Source organism: Homo sapiens, chromosome 22 (assembly GCF_000001405.40).
Source record: "Homo sapiens chromosome 22, GRCh38.p14 Primary Assembly".
NCBI lineage: Eukaryota > Metazoa > Chordata > Mammalia > Primates > Hominidae > Homo > Homo sapiens.
This window is the reverse complement of record NC_000022.11, coordinates 40,938,894-40,950,049: the sequence shown is the minus strand read 5'-3', so window position 1 is coordinate 40,950,049 and position 11,156 is coordinate 40,938,894.

The window sequence follows — 11,156 nt, the reverse complement described above, 5'->3', positions numbered from 1 at the left end:
CTGGCTAGACCAGGACTCCCTTTGACATCTCTAACCTTGCAGAGGTGTGACTCTGCCAGAGCACTCTTAGATGTCGTACAGGTGCATTTGAAGCCTTGTATTTTCTCTTAAAAGATAACTGGCGGGTAATGGAGCGTGCTGACTCTATTGCTAAAGAGAAAGAATAGGCTGGGCGCGGTGGCTCACGCCTGGGAGCCACTTTGGGAGGCCGAGGCAGGTGGATTACCTGAGGTCAGGAGTTTGAGACCAGCCTGGCCAACATGACGAAACCCCGTCCCTACTAAAAATACAAAAATTAGCTGGGTGTGGTGGCACGCGCCTGTAGTCCCAGCTACTCAGGAGGCTGAGGCAGGAGAATCTCTTGAACCCGGGAGGTGGAGGTGGCAGTGAGCCGAGATCGAGCCACTCTACTCCAGCCTGGGTGACAGAGCGAGACTCCGTTCCCCCCCAAAAAAAATAATAAAAGAGAAAGAACTGAGATTTGTTTGTTAGTTATAAACAGCAACAACAGATCCGGGAAAAGACCACCACAGCTTTATCCAGACTTGGAAAGAAAAATTGTGTGAGACCTTAAAGGGCTACAAGAACCCTACAAAGTTTTTCTTAGCCCAAGTTTTAATGACTTTGTTAAAATTTCTGTTGTTAATTTGTTGTGTGCCTACAGGCCCTGACAGGAATACTAGAAACCCATTGTAAATTAAGGTCTTGAAGACATATTTATCAATCATTCAATAAAAGTATTGATATTTACCAGGTTCTGTTTTAAACAGAAGAGACATAATAACAGAGTCAAATAAACCCCTAGTTAGGGAATAATATGCAAGTCAACAAATAAATACATCAAGAAGTCTCAGGGCCAGTCGAGGTGGCTCTAGCCTGTAATCCCAGCACTTTGGGAGGCCGAGGTGGGAGAATCACCTAAGGTCAGGAGTTAGAGACCAGCCTGGCCAACATGGTGAAACCCTGTCTCTACTAAAAATACAAAAAAATTAGCCGGGCGTGGTGGCGGGTACCTGTAGTCCCAGCTACTCAGGAGGCTGAGGCAGGAGAATGGATTGAACCCGGGAGGTGGAGGTAGCAGTGAGCCAAGATCGTGCCTCCAGCCTGGGCAACAAAGTGAGAGTTTATCTCAAAAAAAAAAAAAAAAGTTTCACGTATCCGCCAGGCGGGGTGGCTTAGGTCTGTAATCCCAGCACTTTGGGAGGCCAAGGCAGCCGGATCACTTGAGTCCAGGAATTCCAGACCAGCCTGGCCAACATGGTGAAACGTCTCTACAAAAAATACAAAAGTAAGCTAGGCGTGGTGGCACATGCCTTTAGTCCCAGCTACTCTGGAGGCTGAGGGGGGAGGATTACCTGAGCCCATACATGGAGGTTGCAGTGAGCTGAGATGGCGCCACTGCATACCAGCCTGGGTGACAGAGCGAGACCCTATCTCATAATAAATTAGTAAAAAATGCTGCATTGAAAAAAGTCTCTGGCCGGGCATGGTGGCTCATGCCTGTAATCCCAGCACTTTGGGAGGCCGAGGTGGGTGGATTACCTGAGGTCAGGAGTTCAAGACCAGCCCAGCCAACATGGCAAAACCCCATCTCTACTCAAAATACAAAATTTAGCCGGGTGTGGTGGCTTGCACCTGTAATCCCAGCTACTTGGGAGGCTGAGGCAGGAGAATTGCTTGAACCCGGGACGTGACAGTTGCAGTGAGCCAAGATTGTGCCATTGCACTCCAGCCTGAGTGACAGAGTGAAACTCTGTCTCAAAAAAAAAAAAACAGTCTCAGGTATCAATAAGTGTTGTGAAGAAAACAAGGTAATGAGATTGAGGGGAGAAGGAGGCAACAGTAAATTGGGTGATTAAATAAGACTTCTGTGAAGAGTGACATTTAAGCTGAAGTCCTTTAAATGGTCCTACATGATCTACTTCCCCATCCAATTTACATGTACCTTCTAACATATTTTTTCTAAGTTGGGCATGTGGTCCCAGCTACTCAGGAAGCTAAGGAGGTGGGAGAATCCCTTGAACCTGGGAATTCGAGGCTGCAGTGAGCTGAAATTGCACCACTGCACTCCAGCCTGAGTGACAGAGCAAGACCCTATCTCCTAACAAACAAACATATTTTGACATTTACTTGTGTATTAGGATTATTGTTTTTTGTATGTCCTCAGCAAGAAAAGGGAATTTTGATTTGTTTATTGGTAACAAAAACTGGTACATTGTATGTGCTCATTATGTGTTGAGTAAATAAATTTGGAGCTTACTGAGCAAGCAGAAAGTAGTAAGAGATGTCAGAGAGGCAGGCAGGGGCCAGAGCATGCAGGGATTTTATTACAGATCTTATGGGAAGGCATTGAAGGTTATTATTTTTTTTCTTTTGTATGGTCTTGCTCTCTTGCCCAGGCTGGAGTGCAGTGGTGTAATCTCAGCTCACTGCAGCCTCCAACTCCTGGATTCAAGCGATTCTCCTTCTGCAGCCTCTCCTGTAGCTGGGATTATAGGCACCCGCCACCAACGCCTGGGTAAGTTTTTGTATTTTTAGTTCAGGTATCCTCCAGGAAGGGTGGCTTGCGCCTGTAATCCCAGCACTTTGGAAGGCCAAAGCGGGCAGATCACTTGAGGTCAGGAGTTCAAGACCAGCCTGACCAACATGGTGAAACCTCATCTCTACCAAAAATATAAAAAATTAGCCAGGTGTCGTGGTTCGCGCCTGTAATCCCAGCTACTTGGGAGGCTGAGGCAGGAGAATCGCTTGAACCCAGGAGGCAGAGGTTGCAGTGAGCTGAGATCGTGCCACTGCACTCCAACCTGGGCAACAGAGAAAGACTCTGTCTCAAAAAAAAAAAAAAAGAACAAAAGTCTTAGAACTGAAAAATGCAAATAACTGAATTTAAAAACTCTCAGTGGATGGGATCAATAACAGAATGGAAGTGACATTTTTCCCAACAGAAGCTGGGAGGAAAAAAAGACATGGAAGTGACAGAAGAAAAAAAAATAACTGAACTGGAGGATAGAACAGTAGAAATAAGGCTGGGCGTGGTGGCTCACACCTCTAATCCCAGCACTTTGGGAAGCTGAGGCAGGTGGATTGTCTGAGCTCGGGAGTTCGAGACCAGCCTGGGCAACATGGTGAAACCCTGTCCCTACTAAAAGTACAAAAAATTAGCCAGGTGTGGTGGTGCGTGCCTGTATTCCCAGCTACTCAGGAGGCTGAGGCAGGAAAATCACTTGAACCTGGGAGATGGATGTTGCAGTGAGCTGAGATCGCACCACTGCAATCTAGCTTGGGCAATGGAGTGAGACTGTCTCCAAAAAACAAACAAACAAACAAAAAAACAATAGAAATTACCTGATCTGAACAAGAAAGAGAAAATAAAAATAGACTGAAAACAAAATTAAAAACAGAGCCTGTGGACCTGTGGAAATACTACAAAAGATCTACTATTTCTGTCCTCAGGGTTCCAGGAGGAGAGAATAAAGAGGGCCAGGTTGAAAAGGTAATGGGTAAAATAATGGCTGGATACTTGCCAACTTTGGCAAGAAAAATCTATAGATTCAAGAAGCTGAGCAAACACTACACAGAATACACCCATAGAAATCCATGCCACAACACATCACAATTAAACTTCTGAAAACTAAAGAGAGAAGAAATCTTGACAGCAGCCAGAGAAAACACCTTACCTAAAGACGAAAAATCATTTGAATGGCAGATTTCTCACTGCAAACCACAGAAGCCAGCAGAAGTGGCAAAATGTTTTTCATGCAAAAAGCGAATACAAAAAAACACCTGTCAACTCAGAATGCTATATGTAGTGAAAATGTCCTTCAGGAATCAAGGGGGAATCAAGACATTCTCAGAAGGAAAACTAAGAGAATTTGTCACCAGTAGGCCTTCCCCAAGAAAGGGCTAATGGAAGTTCTCTAAAAAGAAAGAAAACAATAAAACAAGGACCTTGGAAAATTAGAAAAAACAAACACGAAAGTAAAAATATGGGCAAATGCAATAAGCTTTTCTTATCCTTTTGAGTTTTCTAAATTATGTATGACAGTTGAAGTAAAAATTCATTTTGGAGACAGAGTCTTGCTCTGCTGCCCAGGCTGGAGTGCAGTGGGGCCATCTCGGCTCACTACAACCTCCACCTCCCGGGTTCAAGCAATTCTCATGCCTCAGCCTCCCAAGAAGCTGGGACTACAGGTACTTGACACCACGCCTGGCTAATTTTTTGTATTTTTAGTAGAGATGGGGTTTCACTGTGTTAGCCAAGATGGTCTCAATCTCTTGACCTCATGATCTGCCCACCTCGGCCTCCCAAAGTGCTGGGAATGCTATAATTTTTACTTTAGGTCGGGCGCAGTGGCTCATGCCTGTAATCCCAGCACCTTGGGAGGCCAAGGCAGGCAGATCACCTGAGGTCAGGAATTCGAGGCCGGGCGCGGTGGCTCACGCCTGTAATCCCAGCACTTTGGGAGGCCGAGGCGGGTGGATCACGAGGTCAGGAGATCGAGACCATCCTGGCTAACACGATGAAACCCCATCTCTACTAAAAATACAAAAAAATTAGCTGAGTGTGGTGGCGGGCACCTGTAGTCCCAGCTACTCGGGAGGCTGAGGCAGGAGAATGGCGTGAACCCGGGAGGCAGAGCTTGCAGTGAGCTGAGATCGCACCACTGCACTCTAGCCTGGGTGACAGAGCGAGACTCCGTCTCAAAAAAAAAAAAAAAAAAAAAGGAATTCGAGACCATCCTGGCCAACAAGGTGAAACCCCGTCTCTGCTAAAAAAAAAAAAAAAAAAAAAAAAATTAGCTTTGCATAGTGGCACATGCCTATAATCCCAGGTACCCGAGAGGCAGAGGTTGCAATGTGCTGAGATTGTGCCACTGCACTCCAGCCTGGGTGACAGAGCGAGACTCTGTCTCCAAAAAAAAAAATTATAGCATTATCTAATATAGTCCTAAATCTATATGGAGAAAATATTTCAAACAATTATCGTATAAACTGGGAATGGTGAAGGGACACAGAGGGAGGTAAGGTTTTTATATTTCTCTCAAACTGGTAAAATGATGACATTAGTAGACTGTCATAAGTCATGTATATATGAGCCATCACTTAAAAAGCTATACAAAGAGACACACTCAGAAGAGAAACACTATAGATAAAATGGAATTGTAAAAAATGTTTAACACAGAAAGGCAGAAAAACAGAGAACAAGCAGAAAACAAAAAATAAAATGAGGTGGGGCACGCTGGCTCGCATCTGTAATCCCAGCACTTTGGGAGGCCAAGGCAAGAGGATCCCTTGAGCCCAGGAGTTCGAGACCAGCCTTGGCAACATAATGAGACCTCATCTCTACAAACAATACACACACACACACACACACACACACACACAGACACACACACACAAACATGAGTGTGGTGGTGCACAACTGTATTCTTAACTACTTGGGAGGCTGAGGCAGGAGGATGACTTGAGCCCACCAATGTCAAGACTGCCGTGAGCTGCGATTTCGGCACTATACTCTAGTGTAAGTGATAGAGTGATACCTTGTCTCAAAAATAAAATAATCACTTCAACCTGAGGAAGCTGATTAGAAAAATAGAAAAAAATAAAATGACAGACTTCAGCCCTAACATATCAACAATTGCATTAAATGCAGATGGTCTAAATATGCCAATTAAAAGAAATTGGCAGAGTGGATTTTAAAAAAAACCAGTTGTATGTTATCTGCAACAAATTCACTACAGATATGATATAGGCAAGTTGCAAGTAAAAGGATGAAAAAAGTTGTGTCATACAAGCATTCATCAAAGGAAAGCAAGAGTGACTATACTAAAATAAACTAAAGTGGACTTTGGAGCAAAGAAAATTAACGTAGAAAGAGCGGGACATTATACGATGCTAAAAGAGTCAATCCACTAAGAAGACATAGCAATCCTAAATATGTATGCACTAAAAAACAGCACTGCAAAACATGTGAAGTGAAAACTGACAGACCTAAAAGTAGAAATAGATAAGTCCAAGCCAGGTGCAGTGGCCCACACCTGTAATCCCAGCACTTTGGGAGGCCGAAGTGGGAGGATTGCTTGAACATAGGAGTTGACTGGTCTGGGCAACATAGTGAGACCCTGCCTCACAAAAAATAAAAAAAAATTAGCCCAGCATGGTGCCACACACCTGTGGTCTCAGCTACATGGGAGGCTGAGGTGGGAGGATCTCTTGAGCCTAGGAGGTCGAGGCTGCAGTGAGCCATGATTGCACCACTGCACTACAGCTGGGTAACAGAGTGAGACCCTGTTTCAAAAAAAAAAGAAAAAAAAATCTAATGACTTAGGCAAAATTGATCACTTCCTCAAAAACAAGTTACCACAAGTCATCCAAGATGAAATAATTTGAATAGCCCTATAACTTTTTTTTTTTTTTTTGAGACAGAATCTCACTCTGTTGCCCTGGCTGGAGTGCAGTGGTGTGATCTCGGCTCACTGCAAACTCTGCCTCCCGGCTTCAAGTGATTCTTGTGCCTCAGTCTCCTGAGTAGCTGGGACTGCAGGCACATGCCACCATGCCTGGCTAATTTTTGTATTTTTAGTAGAGGCGGGGTTTTGCCATGTTGCCCAGGCTGGTGTCGAACTACTGACCTTAAGTGATACACCTGCCTTGGCCTCCCAAAGTGCTGGTATTACAAGCGTGAGCATGGGAGGTGGAAACTGTAGTGAGCTGAGATCGTGCTACTGCACTCCAGCCTGGGCAGACCCAGAACTTGTCTCAAAGGAAAAAACAAAAAGTTGAGGATCATCTATAATTTTATGAAGCTAGTTTTACTCTGATAACAAAACCAGACAGAGTACAAAAAAGAAAACTACAGAAATAATAACTGTCATGAATATACACACAAAAATCCGCAACAAAATATTAGCAAATGATAGCTACAAACATTTTTAAAATTTTTGTTAATGGGACAAAATATTAGCAAATATAAAAATGATTATTCACCATGGCCAAGTGGGGTTTTTTCCAGGGATGCAAGGCTGGTTCAATATTTCAAAATAAATCAATGGATTCTTCCATATTAATGGGCTCAAGAAGAAAAATCACATGATTATATCAATAGGTGCACACAAAACATTTGCAAAATTAAACATCCATTCATGATATAAATTCTCAGAAAAACAGAAGTAGAAGGGGAACTTCTTCAATGTGATAAGGAGCAGGTACAAAAACCCGCCGATGTTATACCTCTGGTCCTCTGTATCTGTGGATTCAACCAACAAGGGATCAAAAATACTTGGGGGAAAAAACCCAATAAGGATGTTGTGTTTGTACTGAACATGTACAGCCTTTTTTTCCTTGTCATTATTTCCTATCTAGACTATATGGTACGTCAACTATTTACATAGCATTTACATTGTATTATAAGTAATCTAGAGATAATTTAAAGGATGCAGGAAGGTATGCCTAGGTTATATGCAAATACTACACCATTTTATCTCAGGGACTTGAAGATCCTGGGATTTTGGTATACGTGGGGGATCCTGGAGCCAATCCCCCATGGACATCAAGGGACAAGTGTACTTAATGGTGAAATGCTGAATACTTTCTCCTAAAATTGGGAACAAGGCAAGAAAGGCCTCATCACTCTTTCACTGTTATTTATTATAGCACTAGAACTTCTAGCCAGTGGGACAAGACCAAAAAAAAAAAAAAAAAAAAAAAAGGAAGTAGCCAGGCGCAGTGGCTTACGCCTGTAATCCTAGCACTTTGGGAGGCTGAGGCGGGTGGATCACCTGAGATCAGGAGTTCCAGACCAGCCTGGCCAACATGGTGAAACCCCGTCTCTACCAAAAATACAAAAATTAGCCAGATGTGGTGGTGTACACCTGTAATCCCAGCTACTCGGGAGGCTGAGGCAGGAGAATCGCTTGAACCAGGGAGCCGGAGGTTGCAGTGAGCCCAGATCGCACCATTGCACTCCAGCCTGGGTGGCAGATTGAGACTCTGTCTCAAAAAAAAAAAAAGGGAAGTAAAAGGCATACAGGTTGGAAAGGAGGAAATAAAACTGTCCCATTTTTAGATGACACATGGTTTATGTAGAAAATCTCAAGGAATCTAGCAAAACTCTTACAACTAAATGAGTTCAGCAAGGTTACAGAATACATGATAAACATACCAAAATCAATTGTATTTGTATATACTAGCTAAGAATATGTGGACACTGAAATTGAAAGGAATATGCCACTTCTAATCATCCAAAAAGTGAAATAGTTAGGTGTAAATCTAACAAAACATACTTCAGACTTGTGTGCTGAAAACTACACAACACTGATAAGAGAAATAAAAAATATATGTATATTTTTGAGACACAAGCTCCCTTTGTTGCCCAGTCTGGAGTGCAGTGGTGTGATCTCAGCTCCCTGCAACCTTGGACTCCTGGGCTCAAGCAATCCTCTTCCTTCAGCATTCCGAGTAGCTGGGACTATAGGCGTGTGTCACCATGCCCAGCTAATTTTTTGGTATTTTTTGTAGAGATGTGTCTCACCAAGTTTCCCAGGCTGGTCTCCAACTCTTGGCCTCAAGCAATCATCGCTCCTCAGCCTCCCAAAGTGCTGAGATGACATGCATGAGCTACCATACCTGGTCTACACATTTTTTTACAATAAATAGACATACGGTGTTCATGGGTTGGAAGATTCAATATTGTAAAGATGTCAGTTTTCACCAAATTGATATACAGTTTAACAAAATTCCTATCAAAATCCCAGTAAGTTTTTTTTTTATTTATAGACAAGATGATTATTTTATTTTTTTCTTTTTTGAGACAGAGTCTCGCTCTGTCACCCAGGCTGAAGTGGAGTGGTGGGATCTCGGTTCACTGCAACCTCCACCTCCCAGGTTCAAGTGATTCTCCTGCCTCAGCCTCCCAAGTAGCTGGGATTACAGGCACCTACCACCACGCCTGGCTAATTTTTTTTTTTTTTTTTTGAGACGGAGTCTCATTCTGTCGCCCAGGCTGGAGTGCAGTGGCATGATCTTGGCTCACTGCAACCTCTGCCTCCCAGGTTCAAGCAATTCTCTTGTCTCACCCTTCTGAGTAGCTGGGACTACAGGTGCCCACCACCACGCCTGGGACTACAGGCGCCTGCCACCATGCCCAGCTAATTTTTGTATTTTTAGTAGAGACGGGATTTCACCATATTGGTCAGGCTGGTCTCAAACTCCTTACCTCAGGTGATCTGCCCGCCTCAGCCTCCGAAAGTACTGAAATTACAGGCGTGAGCCACCGCGCCCAGCCAATTTTTGTATTTTTTTAGTAGAGATGGGGTTTCACCATGTTGGCCGGGCTGGTCTCAAACTCCTGACCTCAGGTGATCTGCCTGCCTCCACCTCCCGAAGTGCTGGGATTATAGGCATGAGCCACTGAGCCGGGCCTATTCTAAAATTTACATTAAAAGGCAAAGGAACTAGAATAGCTAGAACAATTTTGGAAAGGAAAAATAAAGTGGGAGGAATCTCTTTACCTGCTTTCAAGACTTATTTTTTACGACTGCAGTAATCAAGACTGGTGTTGGTGGAGGATAGACACATAGACCAATGGAACAGAATAGAGAACCCAGAAAAAGACTCACTCAAATATGCCCAACTGAATTTTGACAGAGGTACAAAAGTAATTCAGTAGAGGAAAAACACACCATTTTTAACAAATGGTGCTGGAGCAATTGAACATCTGTAGGCAAACAAAAACCAAACCAAAACAAAAAACCCTTGACCTATGTCTCACATGTTATCCAAAAATTAACTCAACGTGTATCATGAACTTAAACCTAAAACTATAAAACTTTTAGAATTAAGGCCAAGCGCGGTGGCTCACGCCTGTAATCCTAGCACTTGGATTACAAGTAATCCCGAGATTACAATCTCGGGAGGCTGAGATGGGTGGATCACTTGAGGCCAGGAGTTCAAGACCAGCCTGGCCAACATGGAGAAACCCGATCTCTACTAAAAATACAAAAATTAGCCGGGCATGGTGACGGGCGCCTGTAATCCCAGCTCCTTGGGAGACTGAGAGGCATGAGAATCGCTTGAACCTGGGAAGCAGGGGTTGCAGCGAGCCGAGATAGTGCCACTGCACTATAGCCTGGGTGACAGAGTGAGACTCTGTCTCAAAAACAAACAACAGCAAAAAAAGCCAGAAAAAAAAAAAAAACTTAGAATGAAAGAGGAGAAAATTTGCAGGATCTAGGGCCAGACAGAATTCTTAGACTTGGCACCAATAATAGCATGATCTATAAGTGGAACAATCGATAAATTGAACATTAGAATTTAAAACTTTTGCTCTGTGAAAGGGCCAGTTAAGAGGAGGAACAGACAGCTATAAAGTGGGAGAAAGAATTTGCAAACCACATATCTGACAAAGCACTAATAGGTAGCATATATAAAGAAAGAATTCTTAAAATTCAGCTGTCAAAAAACAATCCAATTAGAACATGAGCAAATGGCAGGAAAAGAGATTTCATTGGAGAGGATATATGTAATACAAATGGCAAGTAAGCAGATGAAGAGATGTTCAACACCATTAGCCATCAGAGAATGCAAATTAAAACCACAACGAGATATCACTACCAATCAGAATGGCCAAAAAAACCCAAAAACAAAAAAAATCAGTGACAACACCAAATGCTGGTGAGGAGGTGGAAAAACAGAATGACTCATACATTGCAGGTAGAAATGCAAAATGGTACAGTCACTTTGGAAAGTTTGCCAGTATCTCCAGTATCTTTTTTTTTTTTTTTTAGATGGAGTTTTGCTTTTGTTGCCCAGGACGGAGTGCAATGGTGTGATCTTGGCTCACTGCAACCTCCACCTCCTGGGTTCAAGCGATTCTCCTGCCTCAGCCTCCCAAGTATCTGGGATTACAGGCATGCGCCACCACACCTGGCTAATTTTTTGTATTTAGTAGAGATTTATTAGGGGTTTCACCATGTTGGTCAGGCTGGTCTCGAACTCCTGACCTCAGGTGATCCATCTGCCTCAGCCTCCCAAAGTGCTGGGATTACAGGCATGCACCACTGCGCCTGGCGGTAGTGTGTTTTGTTTTGTTTGAGATAGGGTATCACTCTTGTTGCCCTGGCTGGAGTGCAGTGGCATGATCACGGCTCACTGCAGCC